This window comes from Homo sapiens, chromosome 4 (assembly GCF_000001405.40).
Source record: "Homo sapiens chromosome 4, GRCh38.p14 Primary Assembly".
Lineage (NCBI taxonomy): Eukaryota > Metazoa > Chordata > Mammalia > Primates > Hominidae > Homo > Homo sapiens.
The window spans coordinates 17,708,668-17,732,093 of NC_000004.12; the positions used below are offsets into that span (position 1 = coordinate 17,708,668).

The 23,426-nt window shown below is 45.2% G+C and overlaps 1 protein-coding gene across 2 annotated transcripts in view; it reads right to left on the reverse strand.

Annotated features, from left to right (window-relative positions):
• Positions 1-23,426, reverse strand: part of FAM184B (family with sequence similarity 184 member B) — a 152,316-nt gene that overhangs the window by 79,362 nt on the left and 49,528 nt on the right. For both annotated transcript variants that reach the window (NM_015688.2, XM_047450066.1), the window contains exon 2: positions 225-977. In NM_015688.2, the coding sequence (NP_056503.1) occupies positions 225-977 (753 nt within the window). The remainder of the gene's footprint in view (positions 1-224; positions 978-23,426) is intronic.

The following is a 23,426-nucleotide window of genomic DNA, read 5'->3' on the forward strand; positions in this document are numbered from 1 at the left end:
TATATATATATATATATATATATATATATATATATATATATAGTGTCTGTGTGTGTGTGTGTGTGTGTGTGTGTGTAATGAATGTAGGTGAATTCAATGGAGATAATAGGGCTCACCTCCGTAGAAGGCAAGTGCTTAGCACAGTGCCTGATCTATAGCAGGTTCACAATAAGCAGCCCTGCTGATTTATCCCTTTGGGGTTGTAAGAAGAGATGCTGCTTTACCTGAATCCTCTCCTTCAGCTTCTGGGCGTACTTCTTCAGGTCACTTATCTTGCGGCCTCTGTGCTCCAGGTCTCCTTCCAGCTTCCGGACCTGAGCCTGCAGGGCTGACTCCTGGACCTGGAAGTTCTTGCGGAGGTCCGACTCCTTCTCCTGCCACTGCCACAGGGCCTGGCTCACCGACTGCTGCATGGCCTGCCGGATGGCCTCGTTTTCCCTCTCGTAGGTGGCCTGCAGCTCCTCGGCCTTGCGGGCGTAGTCCTTGCTCAGCTGCTGGTTCTCCACTCGCAGCCGCTGCACCTCTAGCAGGACCTCCTGCATCTCCGGGCCCTGGCCTGGCTCCGACTTGGTTTCAGGGCTCTCCTGGGGCAGCCGGCCCTGCGGGGTAGCCTCGTGGCTCGTCAGGTGCTGGAGCCTCCTCTCGTAGTCAGCCTTGAGCTCCAGCATTTCCCTGGAGAGCGTGAGGACTCGCTCGGCGTGCTCTGCCTCCACCCTCAGCTCTCTCTCCTTCGTCTCCAGCCTGCACGAGGCCGACTCAGCCAGCGCCTCCTCCGTCAGCCTCTTTTGCAGCTCCAGGGCGCTCTCCAGGGCCTGGATGCGCTGTAGAAGGGCTTCCTCCTCTGCGCAGCCCTGTTCCTGCAGGAGCCTGGCCTTGGTCTCTGCCACCGCATTCTGGAGCTCCTCCTGGTGCGCTTCCCGCAGCGCCTCCATGCTGGCCTCAGCCTCATCCTGGCGGGTGTTCAGGGCATAAATCACCTGCAGGAAAATCAACAGAGCCCAGTTAGGGTGAGGGGGCTGGGGTGTGGGAGGGCTGAGGGGACAGAGCAATATTCTCCTGCATGGCGGTTGATCTGCACAAGTGGCACCTGAGAAGAGGATTTGCGTGCAGGGGATTTATTAGAAACTGTTCCCAGAAGAAGCCAGTGAGAGAGCTGCAAAGTGCGACAGGGAAGGACTTGGATTGGGAGCAAAGGGGTGACATTGCACAAAGGCCCCAGAGAGGGCAGCTTTGGCCGAATTCCGAAGGGGACCTCTGTAGTACAGTGGGAATCCACGGAAGAGTTTTAAAGCAGAGAAGTGATGTCATCTCATTTGTTCAGAAGGAACACTTTGGAATGCAAATCCCGGAACAAAACATTTAGAAAACTGGACCCAGGCCAGGTGCGGTGGCTCACGGCTGTAATCCCAGCACTTTGAGAGGCAGAGGCAGGCGGATCACCTGAGGTCAGGAGTTCGAGACCAGCCTAGCCAACATGGCGATCTGGTCTCTATTGAAAGTACAAAAATTAGCTAAGTGTGGTGGCACGCCCCTGTAATCCCAGCTACTCGGGAGGCTGAGGCAGGAGAATCACTTGAACCCAGGAGGCGGAGGTTGCAGCGAGCTGAGATCACACCATTGCACTCCAGCCTGGGCAAAAAAGAGTGAAACTCCATCACAAAAACAAACAAACAAACAAAGAAACAAAAACTGGACAGAGCAATATATAAAAAGGCCAGTATAACTTGAAAATCAGCTAATGTAATACCCCACATCAACAGAGTAAAGGACAAAAACTACAAGATTGTCTCAATAGACACAGAAAAAAATATTTGACAAAATTAAACATCTTTGCATGATAAAAAACACTCAACAAGCAAGGCACAGAAGGGACTCTTCTCAGCCTCATAAGGCACATCTAGGAAAAGTCCCCAGTTAACACCATACTCAGTGATGTAAGACTAAATGCTTCCCTCGTAGGATCAGGAACAAGACAAAGATGTCTGTTCTCCCACTTTTAACACAAAAGAAAAAAAAATGCTTTCTTTGCTGTGTGAAGAACTGAATGAAGGAAGACAGGAGCACAATGAGAAGCCCGGGAATGAAGAATGACTCTTAGGATGTTGGCCTGAGCCACAGGTCGGTGTTTCCTGAAATGGGAAAAACTGTAGGTAGAACAGGTAAGCAGAAGAAAATCGGGAAGTCTAATTTGGACATAGTAAGTTTGATGTGCCCCTGGACATACTAGTGGAGATGGCACCAAGGCATAAACAGAGATAAATGTCCAGCGCTCAGAGGAGGCAGCCTGAGCTACAGAGGAGGGGGGTGAAGTCAGGAGAGTTTTGTTGCTGTTTGCTTGATGAGAGATTCCAGAACATATTTGTAGGATGATGGGAATGACCCCATGGAGAATCCAGAAGTTGAAGCCAGGCACAGTGGCTCATGCCTGTAATCCCAGCACTTTGGGAGGCTGAGGTAGGAGGATTACTTGAGCATAAGATTTTGAGACCAGCCTGGGCAGTGTAGGGAGACTCTGTCTCTACCAAAAAAAAAAGCCAGATGTGGTGGCTCACACCTGTAATCCCAGCACTTTGGAGGCTGAGGTGGGCGGATCACATGGTCAGGAGTTCGAGACCAGGCTGGCCAATATGGTGAAACCCCGCCTCTACTAAAATTACAAAAATTAGCCGGGCGTGGGGTGGGTGCCTGTACTTCCAGCTACTGGGGAGGCCGAGGGAGGAGAATCGCTTGAACCTGGGAGGTGGAGGTTGTGGTGAGCAGAGATTGCGCCACTGCACTCCAGCTTGGCCAATACAGCAAGACTCAGTCTCAAAAAAAATAAAACAAAAACAAAAACAAAAAATGAAAAAGCTGGGCATGGTGGCACATTCCTGTGGTCTCAGTTACTTGGGAGGCTGAGGTGGGAGGATCACTTGGGCCAGGGAGATTGAGGCTACAGTGAGCCGTGATCCTGCCACTGCACTCCAGCCTGGGTGACAGAGTGAGACCCTGTTTCAAAAACAAAACAAACAGAAGTTGAAGCCCCAGGAATAACAATAGATAATAAAGGGCCAAAATCCCTGAGAAGGGTACCACAGAGATTGGTTTCAAGAGCCGTGAGAACACGTCCTCATGGGGATAGGATGGAAGGAAGAGGTGGAGACAGGTGTGTGGCACTTGGGACAGGAGAATGAGGGAGCTCTCACCTTGTAGACATGAGAAGGTGGCTTCTACATTCTCAGTGGAATGAGACAAGGTCACTAACAGTGAGCTGAGTTGGAGGACAGGAAGAAAGCATAAAAGTGTGAGGTGTGAGAAGTTGTGAACTCATTTTTAGGAAGAGGGAAGCCAGTGGTCTACTTTACAGTGTGTGGCATCAGAGGCTGTGTTGAGTTACAGTTCTCTCTGCTTTGCTATGAGATTTTCCTCAGTCAGGTTCATCTGAATTAGTTCAGAGAAGAACAGGAAGGATGGATGGGTTATCTGGAGTTGGAGTTTTATTTGGTGGGTGTGACAGAAAGAGAAGACAAGGTATTTTCAAGGTGCAGCAAGATGGAAAGATGGAGCAGAAGTAGTTTTTTGGTGATGACAAGGCCAAGTGGCAAAGGGAGCATGTGACTGAGGCCAAGTAGAGGAAATGATCACTGGAGATAAGGGGGTCAAAGACTGAGAAATCCAGGGCAGAGTGAACCCCACATGAGACGTCCTCACTGAGAACAATGCAAGAGAAGCTGGGCTGGTGTAGACGCCGTGGAGTCAGATGCCAAACACGACACTGGCTGCCTGGGGCATTTACAATCAGAAAAGTTTTCCTGAAGACTCCCCATCACACCCTTTCACACGGACTTTTAGCCTTTGTGGGTTGCTGGTTTTTCCTTATCCATGAGGCTGTCTATTGAACTACACTCTAACTTCATTGCCAAGTTCCTATTACTGATTCACCCATGGTTTTCAAACTGCACTCCTTGTAGTCTTGAGTTCTCTGATAGAGGTCAGGGCAACATCAGGGATCCTGGGGGAGGCTGAGCAAGTGGGGAGCCCCCTATCAACCATGGAAGAGCTTTCACACTCAGCCTTCCCTAGCATAGAGTTTAGAAAACAAAAAAAAAGCTTTGTATGGCTTTAAAAAAAAGTCAAAAACTAGAGGCTTAGATAATTATGAAATAGAAAATAGGCCAATCGGGAATAGTGTATGAGAGGAAGTTTTGGGTATCACTGTGTGCCTGTGTGTCTGTGCATGTGTGCATTCATTACAAAATCATCATCGACGGCCAGATGGCACCACTAGAGGTGACATGTGTAATAGATTTAATAACGGTTTACCTGGAGGCTGCAGATGTTGAAGAAAGAGTGAACGTATAACCACGACACAGCCTAAGATCTTACTTTTCATTGTCTCTGTCTGATATAGCCATCAGTTTTTTGTCTGTCTTCCTCACCAGAATGTAAACTCCAGGAGAGAGAAGCTTGGTCTTCCTTGTTCATTACTCTCCATCCCCAGTGCCTGGCTCAAGTGGACACTCTAAAAATTATTATGCGAATGAGTGAATAAAGGAGTCAGAACTCCATCTTAAAGAATGTAACTCAAGGTGCGATATGAATGTGACATCTTGTGAAGCCCTGGGAGAATAAGCACTACCTTGAGGACCATGAATCCAACACTCTGTCATGGACAGGAGAAGGAAGTCCCCTTGTCCTTCCAGGAAGATCCTGCAATGAAATGAAGTGCTGTCTCCAAAACTCCTCCCTCTCATCACTTGGTGCACAGGATTTGGCCACTTCTGTTAATTTCCGTGACCTTCTAATGACTTCCATCCAAGAATATATCTGGAAGCTGAAATTGGTTTCCCACTGGCTATAATTTATGTTAATAACAGATACCATTTTAATCAAATTTACTATGTGCCTAGCACAGGGATAGGTGCTATATACACATTCACAATCTCAGAGGATCCTCATGGCAACCCTGCAATTTGGTATTTTTCTGAGCAAATGGGGTTCAGAGAAGTTCAGTAGCTTTTGTGAAGTCTCATATAAGAAGGTTTGAGTAATGCTGAAGCACACGTTCTACACATGGTGCCACACTGCATCTCACCGTCTCACTCAGTCATTTATTCATTCGCGGATTCACTGCACATCTCGGATGTGGCAGGCTCTGTGCTGGGCACTGGGGTTACCTGCTGGCCAATAAGACAACTGAATTTGCAACCTCAGAAATATTTTAATCCAGTAGGAGAGTCAGACAAGAAAATGGAAAGTTTCAATGCACTGCGATGAGTACTACGAGAGGATTTGTCACCAGTTACTATGGAAACACAGAGGAAGCGGTCTGGGAGGAAAGAAGACTTCCCAGAAAAAGTGGGCCTTGCCTCCTCATCCTTGGGGTGGCCAATCCCCTTTTCCATGTCAAGCTGCACATGGACAAGAACCATATCACTTCTTTGGGCTGCTCGACAGCACTTGGTATACAGTTGAGTATACAGTAGGTTCACAGTAAGTATCTGCTATGGGGCTGCTGCAGTTCATCAAGGATTCACGCTTTCCTTCCACAGCGAAGAGCTGCTGCAGAACAGCCATTGAGCAGAGGCCCCATTTCCTAGCTCCTTTCATTTAGGTGAGGTCCTATGACTGGTGATTGCCAATGGAATTTGGGTAGATGGGGTGATGTGTGTCATCCTGGGGCCAATGTGGGGACATTAAGAAGGGCTTATGTCCTTTCCACAGTTTCTTTTTTCATCTGCAAACTTAATGCAGAGGAGTCAGAGGCCTTAGAGGAAGGCAGAGTTCAAGATGGAAGGCATCCGAGCCCTGAAGGACCAGGGAGAAGGCCACCTACTCCCTCAGGAACACTGTCTGTCATTGATCTTTATGGCAATAACTACCGTGTTGAGCCTCTGACATCTTGGCATTTATCTGTAACAGCATCTATTAGTACCTGTTTGGGGTCCCTGAGACTAACTCCAGGTTTAACCATTCATTAGAGGATTCAGTATATAGCCATGCTCGGGGCTATGATTTATGACAGTGAAAGGTACAAAGTAAAATCAGCTAAAAGGAAACGTGCATGGGATGAAATCTGGAGGAAATTTAGGGGCAAGCTTCCAAGGTGCCCACCCAAAATTAACACAAAATCAGATTCAGGGTGAGGGTAGCAGAGAGGGTACCACATGGTGGGCTCACAATGTCTAAGGGCACTTTGGCATGTTCACATGGAGCCACAGTGTCTGGCAACCAAAGTCCCCAAATCCAACAAAATGTGGTATCCCTTGGGGACACCAAGGATCTGCCTGAACTGTTCTGTCAGGCTGAAATCTGGTAAATGGTTCCTCCCCTCCCCTTCCCCTCACCTCCCTGCACAGAAGGTTACTTATATATCCTTTCAGGGATAGTGTGTACATAAACAAGAATGTTATGTTACATACTCCATATCACATATTTTCACCGTCTTTTATACACATACACATTCATCTGCACCTTGATTTTTTTAAACTTCATAATAGATTTTGGAGACCATGCTATTTCTGTACATAAAGAAATTAATGTTGGGGCCAGGCTCAGTGGCTAACACCTGTAATCCCAGCACTTTGGGACGCCAAAGTGGGCAGATTGTTTGAGGTCAGGAGTTCGAGACCAGCCTGGCCAACATGGTGAAACCCCATCTCCATTAAAAATTAAAAAATTAGCTGTGTGTGGTGGTGTGCACCTGTAATCCCAGCTACTTGGGAGGCTGAGGCAGGAGAATCACTTGAACGCGGGAGGTGGAGGTTGCAGTGAGCCGAGACTGCGCCACTGTCACTCTAGCCTGGGTGATAGAGTGACACTCTATCTCAAAAAACAAAAACAAAAACAAACAAAAAAAATGAAATTAATGGGGTCAAAAGACACAAAATTTCAATTAAAGGAATAAATTCAAGAGATCTTTCATATAGCACAGTGACTGTAGTTAATAACAATATACTGTATATTTGAAAATTGCTAAGAGAGCAGATTTTAAGTGTTCTCACCACAAAAAATGATAAGCATGTGGGGTAATGCATATGTTAAATAGCCTGATTTAGCTACTCCATCACATTTGCATACATCAAAACATCATGCTGGAAACCATAAATGTATACAATTTTTACTTGTCAGTTTAAAAAAAAAGAGATTTCTTATTTTAATTTTTGGCTGCTTCATGTGCCATTGTGTAAGTTATAATTTATTTCTCTGCCTCCTTCTGAGAGCCGTTAAGTCATTTCTGTGGGAGATTATCGACATGTTTCTTATTTCACTGTTATTAAGTAAAATTTTCTTTACTCTTTTTTCCATTTCTGCCAGTAAGCCTGAAGTCTGCTTTTTGCTTATAAATGCAACTAATAAAATTCCAATGCCTGGCCTTAAAAAACTCATCTTCATAATTAATACAGGAGCCTCAGAAAGAGATGCAAGAGGAAGGAGGACAACATACCTGCCATCTTGTGTCATAAAACTAGCTCAAAGAATGTTGAGAATGCTTGCAAGCATCCAGTGTGTCTTCCTGTGCAATGTGGAGATGTGTGCAAGTGTTCACCACTGACCATGCAAGGGCACTCCTGGGACTGCTCCCCAGGACATGTACTTACTCTTACCACATCCTCTCTTTTCTCCACCCTCTCCACTCCCTTCCCCTCATTCTATACTTGTTCTCTGAGCTTGACCCTTTTTCCTCTCCCAGGTTTTTTTGTTTGTTTGTTTTTTGAGAGACAGGGTCTCTATGTCCCAGGCTGGAGTGCAGTGGTGTTATTATGGCTCACTGCAACCTTGACCTCCTGGGCTCAAGTGATCCTCCCACCTCAGCCTCCTGAGTACCTGGGATTACAGGTGCATACCACCATGCCTGGATGATTATTTCATTTTACTTTTTACAGACAGGGTCTCATTATGTTGCCCAGGTTGGTCTCGAACTCCTGGGCTCAAGTCATCTGCTCGCCTCAGCCTCCAAGAGTGCTGGGATTATAGGTGTGTGTCACTGTGCCCAGCCCTCTCCTAGTTTAACAGTCTCTTTTCATCTTAACATCTGTCCTTTTACAGCCTGTCCCTCATGGTCAATCATTTCAATTACATTCTTGTTGACATCTCCAATCCCCTGCTCAGCTCATCTTTAGCCTTGCATTCTTGGCATTCTCAATACCAGAGCTTACCCTTTATTTTATTTTATTTTATTCTATTCTATTGTCTCCCTCTGTCTTCCAGGCTGAAGTGCAGTGGTGTGATCTTGGCTCACTGCAACCTCTGCCTCCTGAGTCCAAGCGAGTCTCCTGCCTCAGTCTGAGTAGCTGGGACTAAAGGCACATGCCACCATACCTGGCTAGTTTTTTGTATTTTTAGTAAAGATGGGGTTTCACCATGTTGGCCAGGCTGGTCTAGATCTTCTGACTTCAGGTGATACACCTGCCTCAGCCTCCCAAAGTGCTAGGATCATCAGTGAGAAACACTGCACCCTGCCCAGAACTTATCTTTTAAAATGTGCTCAAGTTATTTCATCTCTCTGAAGCTCAGTTTTCTTGCCTGTAAAATAGAGAGAATCCAGGCCCAGTTTTTGTGAGGATCAAATAGGGTAATATATCTTAGGTGTCTGGCACGTAGTAAATACTTATTAAACGTTTCTTCCTTCCCTCCTCTCTCACCCAATCTCCTCCAAAGGAAAGGTCCCATGTTTTAGAGACACAATCTCCTCCAACTTGTTCTGAATATCTGAAATCATTGAGCAGATTTTGAGCAGTCCGCTCTTCTCCTGGGCTTCATGCCTCACAGGTCGCTTGGCAACTCTTCTGCCATCTGCTTGCTTGCTTTCACTCACCACCTTCTAGACTGGAACATCAGACTGCTCCAGGCCTCATTTATAAACCCACCTCCTATGGGGGAGGCTGACTTCAGAATCCATCAAGGCACATAAATAATTCAGCAGCCAAGAGAAATTCTGAGCAAGTCAAAACGACTTCCTAAGAGTTTTAGAAATCCACTGCTGATGGGTTGACGTCAGAGGAGATTTCAGCAGAGGCCTGTTAGGGTCGTAGAGATTGAGTGTTGTAGGTTTAACAAGGCTCTAATTAATGGCTTTTAAGCATCAGATCCTGATGACAGTTTTCATCAAGTTTGGCAGCAGGAATCAGAATTGAAATGAAAAAGAAAAAAAAAAGGACATAATATCTGTTGAGGGCCCAGAGTATGACATTCACTGGGCCAGATAATTTACATGTGTCTTTTCAATTAATCTATTTAGGTTGGTGCAAATGTAATCGTGGTAATCGCAACAAGTAATGGGGAAAGCCGTGATTACTTTTAAACCAACCTAATAACAATTCTACAAAGTGAATGTTTTTATGCTTAGCCTTATTTTACAGATGGGGCTAACTTCATATGTAGGGGTAATATAATAGAACTCCACCTTTTTCTAGATGTGTGAACTTCAGTACGTTGCTGAACCTGAGTCTCAGTTACCTTATCCAAGACATGCGGAGAGTTTTGTTTGGAGATCAAATGACATTATGAACCAAAAACCCTTCACAGCACTCTTAAGCACTTAACCCTTCTTAAGCTCTTAAAAAATTCATTAGTTATGATTTTTACTATTATCGGTATTACTGCCAGAAGTCATTGAGCTAAAAAGTGAGAGTGCTGGGATTCAAATCCAAATCCTTCTGGGTCCAAAGTTAAAAGAGTAGAATCATACCTTGTTTAGAAAAAAAAAGCTGGTAATATGCTTTTACTCAATGTTTTTGCAGCATTTCCTATATGCCTGGCATGATACTAGGCATGGGAAAAACAGAACAAATAAGACCATTCTGTTGAGGGGCTTATAGGCTAGTAGAGTGTGGCAGACTACATTATTTGTCCGTATAATAATCTTCGCCCTTTCTTTCCCCTTCCTTGCCATGGTCTGTGGATGGCATTTATTTGTCTTCCCCATTGATGTTGAACTTGGCTGTGTGACTTGCTTTGGCCAAGGGAATGTGAGTGGACTTGTTGCAAGCAAAGGCTTTTGATATGTTTATGTGCTTTGGCTTGCCCTCTTGTGCTTCTACCACTTGCTACAAGAAAAGCCTGTGCTGGGTACCCACGGGTCCCAGAATGAGAGACACAGAGCAGGCTGGACCCCACCCCAGAGTGTGGAATGCAACTGGCTCAGCCAAACCCAGCTGAAATCAGCTGAACAGCAGTGAAACTGAGCAGGAAATAACTCACTGCTGTAGCCATTGAGATTTAGAGTTGTTTGTTACACAGAATTATTGCAGGAACATCTGCCTAATACACAAAGTGAGATAGAAAAGAAAGCCAATTAGTATGTACAGTAGTTGTCCCTTATCTGAGGGGGATACCTTCCAAGATGCCCACTGGATGTCTGAAAGCTTGGCTGGTACAACCCCTATAGACACTATGTTTTTTCCTATACGTATGTACATATCTGTGATAAGGCTTAATTTATAAACTAGGCACAATAAGAGGTTAACAACAATCACTAGTAATAAAATAGAACACTTATAACAATGTACTAGCATCACTGCTCTTGAGCTTTGGGGCCATTATGAGGTAAGAATAAGGCTTATGTACTTGAAAACAAGCACTGTGACAGTTGATCTGATAATCGAGACAGCTACTAGTGACTAATGGGCAGGTAGGGACTACAGCGCCGATACTCTGGACAAGGGTATGATTCACATCCCAGGAGGAAAAGAGGAGGACGGCACAAGATTTCATCATGCTACTCACAACGACAAATAATTTAAAACTTATGAATTGTTTATTTCTGGAATTTTCCATTTCATATTTTCAAGACTTCTTTGGTCCACCTTGGGTAACTAAAACCTTGGAAAGCAAGACCACAGAAAAAAAGGGACTACTGTCTAGGGATATTTCAAGTACTTTGCTAGAAGTCTGTAGAGGTGCAGAGAAAGGCACAGGGGAGGAAAGGATCACATTGCTCCAGTAATCCCCCCTTTTCTCCTTCATTACCATTAGTGGATCACTCCTATCAATACATAACTGTGCTGTAATTTTTATCATGAACAAAAATCTTTATTTTAACCCCACATTCTCCATTTTTCTACACCCCTTTATAGCAAACTCCTCAAATACTCTATAACCATTGTTACTAATTTCTCAACTTCCCTATTCCTCTTGAATTATCACCAATCAGGCTTTTACACCAACTAATCCACTCAAACAGCTCATCAGAGTCACTAGTGATGTCCATGTTACTAAAACAATACCCAGTTCTCAGTCTTCATCTGTTCAACTTTTCAGCAGCATTAGAGCTAATGAATCACTCCCTCTTCTTGAAATATTGTCTTCTCTTGGCTTCCGCAATAGAACATACTCCTACTGACCGCTGACCACTCCTTCTCATCTCTTTGGCTAGTTACATCCTCCTCAACTCCCATCCTTCACATAGGAATGCCCCAGAGTGTTAGCCTCAGTCTGTTTCTATTCTTTTGCAAAAATTTCCTTGGGGTCTCACTCAATTCCATTATTTAATGCATTCTCTATTTGCTAATGACTCCCAAATTTATATGACCAGGCTGGACCTGCCACCTGAACGTCATACTCATGTATTCTGTTGCTTACCAATATCTCTACTTGGATATTGAACCTGCAGCTCAAATTTAATTCTGGATTTTTCCTTTTAATACCTGCTCTTCCCACAATATTCCTCATCTCATTTCACAGGAACTCCTTTCTTTCAATTGCTAACGTCAAAAATTTTAGAATCAACAAATAAGCACATGAAAGGATGCTCAACATCTTTAATCATTAGGGAAATGCAACTCAAAACCACAATGAGATAGCACTTCATGCTCATTAGAATGGCTATCATCACAAAAAGAGAAATGTTGGTGAGGATGTGGAAAAATTGGAGCCCCTGTACATTGCTGGTGGGAATGTAAAATGGTGTAGCCACTGTGGAAAACAGTATGCTGGTTTCTCAAAAAATTAAACATAGGGCGAGGCGCGGTGGCTCATGTCTGTAATCCCAGCACTTTGGGAGGCTGAGGGGGGCAGATCATGAGGTCAGGAGTTCAAGACCATCCTGGCCAACATGGTGAAACCCCGTCTCTACTAAAAATGCAAAAATTAGCTGGGTGTGGTGGTGCACCCCTGTGTTCCCAGCTGCTCGAGAGGCTGAGGCGGAAGAATCGCTTGAACCAGGGAGTTGGAGGTTGCAGTGAGCTGAGATCAAGCCAATGCACTCTAGCCTGGTGACAGAGAAAGACTTCATCTAAAAAAAAAAAAAAAAAAAGAAAGAAAAAAGAAGAAAAGAAAAAGAAATTAAACATAGAATTTCATATGATCCAGTAATTCCATTTGCTTATCTTTCTCTCTAAAATATAAATTACATGCAGGTGAAAAAGTTCGTCTGCAGAGTTCACTACCAGATCCCCAAAGAGTGGCTGGCTCATGGAAAGGACCCTAATATTTGTTGAATGAATAAAAAATCTCGGCTGGGCGCGGTGGCTTACGCCTGTAATCCCAGCACTTTCGGAGGCCGAGAAGGCGGATCATGAGGTCAGGAGATCGAGACCATCCTGGCTAACACAGTGAAACCCCATCTCTACTAAAAATACAAAAAAATTAGCCAGGCGTAGTGGCGGACGCCTGTAGTCCCAGCTACTCAGGAGGCTGAGGCAGGAGAATGGCGTGAACCCGGGAGGCAGAGCTTGCAGTGAGCCAAAATTGCACCACTGCACTCCAGCCTGGGCGACAGAGAAAGATTCTGTCTCAAAAAAAAAAAAAAAAAAAAAAATCTCTTTGCCCTAGCAGAAAGGGCATCCGAGTGCAGAGGATACCCAAGTTGGGTTTGGAAAGGTGAGCAAATGTCACCCAGGTGGACAGGAAGGGGAAGAAAATACTGATAAGGGAAGTACCATGAGCAGGAAGTAGCGCAAAGGCATGGCATAGAGGCAAGACATGCAAGGGGCGTCCTCCGGGGCAGAGCCGAGGTGAAGGGCATTGGCAGGGAAGAGGAGCGCACCATGACATGACGCTGGACAGGTGGGCAGGGGTCAGACCCTCACAAGTCCAGCATCCATGTTAGCGAGTGCTGACTTTGTCCTGTTTGCTAGCACATGGTGATCATGCAGACTCCCAGGCCCTGCCCCAGACAGCCTGATGTGGAGAGTCTGGGGGAGGTCCCGAGATATGCATTTTTAACATTCCCTCGCAATGGGCCTAAGATCTGAAAGCCAGATGGATGCATACTTTGGAGACTTGTGGTATGTGTTCCACGCAGGAAGTTTCTCTCACAAGATTCGGCCTCTTGGGAGTTAGGGGGAATAACACTGCATCTCATAACTGCATCTCTGGAATCGTTGCAGAGAGCAGTCTGGTTGAGATGCAGGCAGGAAGAAGAGTTAAGGAAGGGGCCAGGGAAGGGAGTTTGGGCTAGAGAGCTGTCCAGGAGGAGGAGTGGCAGGGCCAGTGACTCACTGGGTGTGGAGAGGGGGAGACGGAAGAGTCCAGAAGATTCTGCAGCTTGTGTGACTGAGGGTATGGCTATCCCATTTCTACTGGGAAGCAGAGCTTCCTGGGATCACAGGACACCAAAAGGCCACAGTCACTGCTCTTGACTCACATCCCTGCACACAGAGCGGAGCTTCAGTGTTCTGGGCACCAAGTCAGAAAAGAGGACTAACTAAACCGCCAGAAGGAAGCCCTGGATTCGGGTGCTGAGAGGCCTGGGGAGAGCAGAGGTTGTGTGGTTACTGTCCCTTCCTTTAAGAAAACAGGCTCAAACAGGTCCCCAACAAAGCTGGGCTCCTTCCAGCAAATGAGCTTGGAATGGATTTCTAGATAGATCCAAAACGCTAATTAAAATCTCATCATTGCTCATCAGAGAGCTGTTGCTAGGCACCTAGCTGCACATGGCATTGAACTGTGAGACATCAGCTTCTGAGTAATTGAAACCCAACTGTTCTCCAAACCAATTTAGGCTGAGACTTAGCTGAAAGACGAGGGTGGGCTCCCAGGAAGGTTCTTAATGAGAGCCCCACCGTCTACAGGCCCAGTCCAACCCTCACACAGAACACAGGCCTGGACTCTTTCCCAGGGAGTCTCCCCACTGCATAAGATGGGGGTCTGGAAAGGGATCATCTTGTTTATTTCAAATCTCGAATGACTTGCTTAGAGTTTTTGGAAAGCACCTTTGGTTGGCCAACCTGGTTAATAAACATGTGTATGCGTGAATGATTTTTTTTATGAATAAAAACAATACAAAGAAATCTTAACACTTTTCATAGGAAATATTATGAGAGAGAATTAATCCAAGCGGGAGCATCAAACCCTATAACCATGCATACAAATGGAATTGCGAAAATTCAAACGCAGACAGAGCAGCTCTTCCAGTTCACCTCTTTATATGCCAATTTTACATATTTAAATCCTGAAAGCAGCTTTTGTGTGCAGATCTAAATAGACATGCATATCCATTTTTCCATATGAATGGTATAACAATGTGTGCTACCATTATTTTTGCATAGCACTTTCCAGTTCACCAAGCAACTTTACAAGGTAAACCCCGCAGCATGATAAATATAAACATATTGAATGCTCGTTCTAACTGAATTTTTACTTTTGCCACTATTCGCAGCAGAGAAAAATCTCTTTAACTATTTTCTAGTTCATTTATTGTAGCTTCTGCAAAATCCTCAAATAAACAGTATGCTTCAAGTTATATATTATTGTCCAAACAACACCATCACAAAACCCAAACATCCATTTATGATACTTAGGTCACCTTTGCCAGTTGTCTTCCCAGCAATGGCTGAATTTCTGTGCCCTGACTGCACGTGGCCTCGAGTGTAGCAGCAGGTAGTTTTGCTAATGATTCTGTTGAATTCTCAGTTTATGGGTTATGGGTCAGATGCTGCTCACTTAACCTGCACATCAGAAATGGAAGGGCCACACTGGGTCAAGTCCACGGCCAGCCCATCTCTTGTCTCTGACTTATGCTCTCAGTAGCGTCTGTATACAGTCCATGACAGTCTGCCAGGCCAGGGAGAAAAGGGACATACAATAGAGGAGTCCTAGGAAGGGTGGTCTGGAGAAAATGATTCCAGAAATGTCTAGGCAGGACACGGAGCAAGCTCACCCTCCACTTTACACAGCCAAATCTTCTTACTGTTGCTGTGATGTTCATTCCCAGCATTCCCAGAAGAACTTCATGCAAGGTCGAATTCAAGAGCTCATTTCTGAAAGCGTAGCGTGCCTGCCACCACATGACCTCTTTTGTTCGTGCCCTGTGGTTCCCTGTCTGCTGGATGGAAGCTTCCAGTAGCACGTCATCACATCCGGGGCAGCAAGACTCTCTTAAACAAGGTACAATCTTGTTCCAGGTTTGTTTCAGAATCACACATGCCACCACTATACAATGTATCCATGTAATCAAAAACCACTTGTACCCCTGAAGCTAATGAAATCTTTTAAAAAGAGGGAGGCAAAAAAACAAAATCTCACACACACACACACACACACACTCACACACACACTCTTACATACACATGCATATGTATCGACAAAGGAAAGGGTCAAGAATACACCAAAACATGACCGTGGTTATCTTTAGATGGTAAGATTATGGGTGATCAATTTTTCTTCTTCTTTTTGTTTTTATGCATTCTCTAATTTTTCTATGATGCACATGGCACTTCATTTATCATCAAGTTGTATTTTTTAAGGCTAAAGGTATACCATCAAAATACTCTCCATCAGTTAATCCACAAGTACAGAAGCCTGGGACACAGCCCTGGGAGAAGAAACAGATCCTGACAAGGAAGGGCCAAGTCCTGAGGCCTCCCTTGAGGGATTTGGCTCTGGCTGTGCCATGTCCACCTGGCTGGTGAGAAACCAAAATTGGTCTGTTTTAGTCTGAGCAGCCCAATTACAGTAAATGTGTTGTCTCTTCCACCAAGAAACTTGGTTCCATGGAGGAAAAGAGTTTAAGAGAGTCTTGCTGCTGATGATGTAACGAGGTGCTACCATCCAGCAGGCAGGGAACCACACCGCACAAACAACAGAGGCCATGTGGTTGCAGGCACTCTGCGCTTGCAGAAATGAGCTCCTGAATTCAACCTCGCATAAAGCTCTTCTGAGAATGAATGTCACAACAACGGTAAGAAGATTTGGCTTTGTAAAGTGGAGGGCAAGCTTGCTCTCTGTCCTGCCTAAATATTTCTGGAATCATTTCCTCCAGACCACCCTTCGTAGGACTCCTATATTCTACGTCAATTCTCTCCCTGGCCTGGCTAGAGTGTTCTTTCTAAATTGAAGGGCTGACTACAAGACAGTCTTGCTTAATACTCCATGGATGCTCTTCATCCACCCCAGAAGTGGCTCTCAATCTCTATCTGCCCCCGCATACCTGAGGGTAGGGCCTGGTCTCTGGGGGACTCACCGCTGCAGAGCCTGCTGGCTTTGTGAGGCAGGGTCATGACTTCGTCACCTTTGTGTCCCAATGGCAAACATAGGGTCAGGCAATGTGCAGGCATACGGCAGGTCCTCAGGGACAGGAACTAGTAGGGACTGTTTGTTACTCAGTATTGTATCCTCACTACCAAGCAGAACCATGGTCCAGGATTTAACAGATGGTAAGTGAATGAGTGAATAAATGGTGAAAAAATGAATGAAGAATTCTGTATGACAGAGAGGGGACACCATTTAGATGTGTTATGTGCAAGTGGATTTACGCAGTGCTGCCTGGGAAAAAGAGGCATGTAATTATTATCCCCACTTAGCCTATTTAAGAAATGCTATTTTTCTCATCCCAGATACCAATGTCAAAAAGTAATAGAAACTACTCTTTCACAGACACATCTAGTAGCACCAAATATGTGTCAGGTCCTGAATCCAGGGCTGCTTTCATTCAGTTCAAATCTGGTAGCTGTCTTTAGGGTCACGCACACTCCTATTAGCACATTTGAAGGTGAGGGTCTGGGAAGTTGCCAGTGTGGGTTGGATAATAGGGTTAAGTGTAAAGGCATCTCCATTTTCACTAATGGTGACAGTCTCCCTTTTTCTTGGCTGGGTTCCCTGAGCCAGTCATATAGCGTCTGTCAGTACTGGGAGGCAGAAAGTGGCATTTAGTACATATTCCTAAAAGTCTTTCCTTGCCTTTTTAAAAAGAAAGGCCCAGGGGTTGTGGCATAATGCCCTCTCAGGATGGCTTGGTCAGATCCTTCTTGTCCAGTGAAAATCTGTGAGATTCCTTTTAAAATCATTATGATTCAGCAACCAAATCCCATATATGTACGGATTTACTAATCAAAACTCTTCTTTTTTTTTTTTGTGACAGAGTCTTGCTCTGTCACCCAGGCTGGAGTGCAGTGGCGCCATCTCTGCTCACTGTAAGCTCCGCCTCCCAGGTTCACGCCATTCTCCTGTGTCAGCCTCCTGAGTAGCTGGGACTACAGGCACCCGCCACCACGCCCAGCTAATTTTTTCGTATTTTCAGTAGAGACGGGGTTTCACTGTGTTAGCCAGGATGGTCTTGATCTCCTGACCTTGTGATCCGCCTGCCTCAGCGTCCCAAAGTGCTGGGATTACAGGTGTGAGCCACCGTGCCCGGCCCACTAATCAAAACTCTTCTATATACAAAACCAGATTCCCAAATCCATTAGCTTGGGTTAAAGGAAATTTATTGGCTCATATACCTGAAAAGCCCGAAGCCAGGGCTAGCTCCAGGTGTGGGCTCTTAAATGATGTCTTTTTGTTTTCTTTTGTTTTGTTTTTATTGGGACAGAGTTTTGCCCTTGTTGACCAGGCTGGAGTGCCATGGCGTGATCTCAGCTCACTGCAACCTCTGCTTCCCAGGTTCAAGTGACTCTTGTGCCTCAGCCTCCTGAGTAGCTGGGATTACAGGTATGTGCCACCATGCTTGGCTAATTTTTGTATTTTTAGTAGAGACGGGGTTTCACCATGTTGGTCAGGCTGGTCTCAAACTCCTGACCTCAGGTGAGCCACCCATCTCGGCCTCCCAAAATGTTGGGATTACAGGCATGAGCCACTGCGCCTGGCCAAATGATGTCATTTTGACTCTACTTTTCCCCATCCCATAGTTTTGCTTTCCTCTGAGTTGGCTTTATTCCTTGGTAGGCTCTTGACAAAGTAGCCACAGGCAGCTTCAGGATTTTATTTTCCCAGCTCAGCCTGCCCCAGGAAAGAGAACTCCTCTTTGTCAACAGTCCCAACAAAAGCTCCAAAGCTAACTCTATCGATCTGGCTAGTGTCATGGACCTAATGCTGATGGATCACTGTGGCCAATGGGATAGAATATTCTGATTGGCTAATTTCAGGTTGCATGGGATCCAGGAGAATGGGGTTGACCTGCCTCAATCACATGGAATGAAGACTGAGTCAGGGTACCTGCTCAGTATCTCAAAGGAAATTAGAAACCTGGTGCCAGGACACACATAGATTCTGTGTCAGTAAGAACAGATACATGCTACAGCCAGCATTCCTGACCCTTCTAAGTAAACTCAGTATGACTCACTGAACACCAACTTCAGAACTGGAGGAGACAGAACAAAAGATTAAGACTCTGTCCCTACTCTCACATAGCACATGAGAAGGACGTGTACACACACAGGGTCATGTGAAACCTCCAGGCAGAAAGATGGCACAGGATGAAGGCTCCGCAGGACACCAGAGGAGGCACCAGGACAGCTGACAAGAGACCTGAGTCCCAAGACCCAGCTCTGTCCCTCTCAAGCAGTGTGAACTTAGGCATGTCCTACAGTCTCTCTGAGAAAACTAAGTTTCCTTTCCTAATGTATTAGTCTGTTCTCACACTGCTATAAAGATACTAGCTGAGACTGGGTAATTTATAAACAAAAGAGGTTTAATTGACTCACAGTTCCACATGGCTGGGGAGGCCTCAGGAAACTTACAATCATGGCGGAAGGTGAAGGGAAAGCAGGCAACTTCTTCACAAGGTGGCAGGGGAGAGAGTGAGTTCAGGGGAAATTGCCACTTTTAAATCATCAGATCTTGTGAGAACTCCTTCATTTTCAGATCAACAGAACTCATGAGAACTCACAATCATGAGAACAGCATGGGAAAGACCACCCCCAAGATCGAACCACTTCCCACCAAGTCCTTCCCTTGACATATGGGGATTACAATTCAAGATAAGATTTCAGTGGGGACACAGAGCCGAACCATATCACCTAATAAATGAAATGGTCAAACTAACCTGATATTTCCCAAAGGGAATGAAAGTGACAAAGGGTCAAATAAGCTTGGGGAGTGTTTGGTTAGCTCTGTTATAAAGACATTTGCTTAACTGTCTTTACCCCAGCAGTTGGCCATTGAGTTCTTATTTAAAAAAAAAATTACAATGAGTCCAGGCATGATGGCTCATACTTGTAATCCCAGCACTTTCAAAGGCTGAGGTGGGAGGATCACTTAAATCTAGGAGTCTGAGACCAGCCTGAGTAATAAAGTGAGACCTTGTCTCTACAAAATTAAAAAAAAATTATCCAGGAATTATGGTCATAATGACGATGACAATCACGACGAAGGTAGTGATGATGAGGATGAAGATGAGGATAGTGTTGCTGATGGAAGAGGATCAGGGCCAACATTGCATATCCATCCACAAGCATACCTGTAGTCCCAGCTACTCAGGAGGCTGAGATGGGAGGATTGCTAGAGCCTAGGAGGTTGAGGCTGCAGTGAGCTATGATCATGCCAGTGCACTCCAGCCCAGGTGACAGAGCGAGACCCTGTCTCTTAAAAAAAAATTACAATGAAAATTAACATGCCTCAGAACATATTTTGGATAGTGCTGGACCAGGAGATCTTTACATTTTGACTGCTGTGAGTTAAAGTATGAACAGCACACAAGAACAAATCCTAGGAGAGCTTAGGGCTTGCAGACTCCGTCTCTCGGGGCAGTCAGTGTAGGTCCTGCAGTGAAAGCAGGTGTCCTGAAGGGTGGAGAAGATGGCAACTAAGGGGCAGTAGGAAGGAAGAGTGCTGCGGAAATTGAGCCCAGGTGTGGAGCAGAGGCAAATGCTGGTGTCAGACTCAGAGGTGGTATTTCAGCATGTTAGTAGTAACCTCCGGGTGATGGGATTACAGTAGATTTAAATTTTTTAAAAAAAATTTCTGAGAGCCAAGATGGCCGAATAGGAACAGCTCTGGTCTACAGCTCCCAGCGTGAGCGACACAGAAGACAGGTGATTTCTGCATTTCCATCTGAGGTACCGGGTTCATCTCACTAGGGAGTGCCACACAGTGGGTGCAGGACAGTGGGTACAGTGCACCATGCGCGAGCTGAAGCAGGGCGAGGCATTGCCTCACTCGGGAAGCGCAAGGGGTCAGGGAGTTCCTTTTCCTAGTCAAAGAAAGGGGTGACAGACGGCACCTGGAAAATCGGGTCACTCCCACCCTAGTACTGTGCTTTTCCAACAGGCTTAAAAAACGGCACACCAGGAGATTATATCCCGCACATGGCTTGGAGGGTCCTGCGCCCACGGAGTCTTGCTGATTGCTAGCACAGCAGTCTGAGATCAAACTGCAAGGTGGCAGCAATGCTGGGGGAGGGGCGCCTGCCATTGCCCAGGCTTGATTAGGTAAACAAAGCAGCTGGGAAGCTCAAACTGGGTGGAGCCCACCACAGCTCAAGGAGGCCTGCCTGCCTCTGTAGGCTCCACCTCTGGGGGCGGGGCACAGACAAACAAAAAGACAGCAGTAACCTCTGCAGACTTAAATGTCCCTGTCTGACAGCTTTGAAGAGAGTAGTGGTTCTCCCAGCATGCAGCTGGAGATCTGAGAACGGGCAGACTGCCTCCTCAAGCGGGTCCTTGACCCCCGAGCAGCCTAACTGGGAGGCACCCCCCAGTAGGGGCAGAATGACACCTCACACGGCCAGGTACTCCTCTGAGACAAAACTTCTAGAGGAACGATCAGGCAGCAGCATTTGCGGTTCACCAAGATCTGCTGTTCTACAGCCACCGCTGTTCTGCAGCCACTGCTGCTGATACCCAGGCAAACAGGGTCTGGAGTGGACCTCTAGCAAACTCCAACAGACCTGCAGCTGACGGTCCTGTCTGTTAGAAGGAAAACTAACAAACAGAAAGGACATCCACACCAAAAACCCTTCTGTACGTCACCATCATCAGAGACCAAAAGTAGATAAAACCACAAAGATGGGGAAAAAACAGAGCAGAAAAACTGGAAACTGTAAAAAGCAGAGTGCCTCTCCTCCTCCAAAGGAATGCAGCTCCTCACCAGCAATGGAACAAAGCTGGATGGGGAATGACTTTGACGAGCTGAGAGAAGAAGGCTTCAGACAATCAAACTACTCCGAGCTACAGGAGGAAATTCAAACAAATGGCAAAGAAGTTAAAAACTTTGAAAAAAAATTAGATGATTGGATAACTAGAATAACCAACACAGAGAAGTCCTTAAAGGAGCTAATGGAGCTGAAAGCCAAGGCTCGAGAATTACTTGAAGAATGCAGAAGCCCCAGGAGCCAATGTGATCAACTGGAAGAAAGGGTATCAGTAATGGAAGACGAAATGAATGAAATGAAGCGAGAAGGGAAGTTTAGAGAAAAAAGAATAAAAAGAAATGAACAAATCCTCCAAGAAATATGGGACTATGTGAAAAGGCCAAATCTACATCTGATTGGTGTACCTGAAAGTGACGGGGAGAATGGAACCAAGTTGGAAAACACTCTGCAGGATATTATGCAGGAGAACTTCCCCAATCTAGCAAGGCAGGCCAACATTCAGATTCAGGAAATACAGAGAACGCCACAAAGATACTCCTTGAGAAGAGCAACTCCAAGACACATAATTGTCAGATTCACCAAAGTTGAAATGAAGGAAAAAATGTTAAGGGCAGCCAGAGAGAAAGGTCAGGTTACCCACAAAGGGAAGCCCATCAGACTAACAGCAGATCTCTTCGCAGAAACTCTACAAGCCAGAAGAGAGTGGGGGCCAATATTCAACATTCTTAAAGAAAAGATGGGGAAAAAACAGAGCAGAAAAACTGGAAACTGTAAAAAGCAGAGCGCCTCTCCTCCTCCAAAGGAATGCAGCTCCTCACCAGCAATGGAACAAAGCTGGATGTGGAATGACTTTGACGAGCTGAGAGAAGAAGGCTTCAGACGATCAAACTACTCTGAGCTACAGGAGGAAATTCAAACAAATGGCAAAGAAGTTAAAAACTTTGAAAAAAAATTAGATGATTGGATAACTAGAATAACCAACGCAGAGAAGTCCTTAAAGGAGCTAATGGAGCTGAAAGCCAAGGCTCGAGAATTACGTGAAGAATGCAGAAGCCCCAGGAGCCAATGTGATCAACTGGAAGAAAGGGTATCAGTAATGGAAGACGAAATGAATGAAATGAAGCGCGAAGGGAAGTTTAGAGAAAAAAGAATAAAACCCAGAATTTCATATCCAGCCGAACTAAGCTTCATAAGTGAAGGAGAAATAAAATACTTTACAGACAACCAAATGCTGAGAGATTTTGTCACCACCAGGTCTGCCCTAAAAGAGCTCCTGAAGGAAGCACTAAACATGGAAAGGAACAACCGGTACCAGCCACTGCAAAAACATGCCAAAATGTAAAGACCATCAAGACAAGGAAGAAAACTGCATCAACTAACGAGCAAAATAACCAGCTAACATCATAATGACAGGACTAAATAAACACATAACAATATTAACTTTAAATGTAAATGGGCTAAATGCTCCAATTAAAAGGCACAGACTGGCAAATTGGATAAAGAGTCAAGATACATCAGTGTGCTGTATTCAGGAAACCCATCTCACGTGCAGAGACACACATAGGCTCAAAATAAAGGGATGGAGGAAGATCTACCAAGCAAATGGAAAACAAAAAAAGGCAGGGATTGCAATCCTAGTCTCTGATAAAAAAGACTTTAAACCAACAAAGATCAAAAGAGACAAAGAAGGCCATTACATAATGGTAAAGGGATCAATTCAACAAGAAGAGCTAACTATCCTAAATATAAATGCACCCAATACAGGAGCACTCAGATTCACAAAGCAAGTCCTTAGTGACCTACAAAGAGACTTAGACTCCCACACAATAATAATGGGAGACTTTAACACCCCACTGTCAACATTAGACAGATCAACGAGACAGAAAGTTAAAAGTTAAAAAGGATACCCAGGAATTGAACTCAGCTCTGCAGCAAGTGGACCTAATAGACATCTACAGAACTCTCCACCCCAAATCAACAGAATATACATTTTTTTCAGCACCACACCACACCTATTCCAAAACTGACCACATAGTTGGAAGTAAAGCACTCCTCAGCAAATGTAAAAGAACAGAAATTATAACAAACTGTCTCTCAGACCACAGTGCAATCAAACTAGAACTCAGGACTAAGAAACTCACTCAAAACTGCTCAACTACATGGAAACTGAACAACCTGCTCCTGAGTGACTACTGGGTAC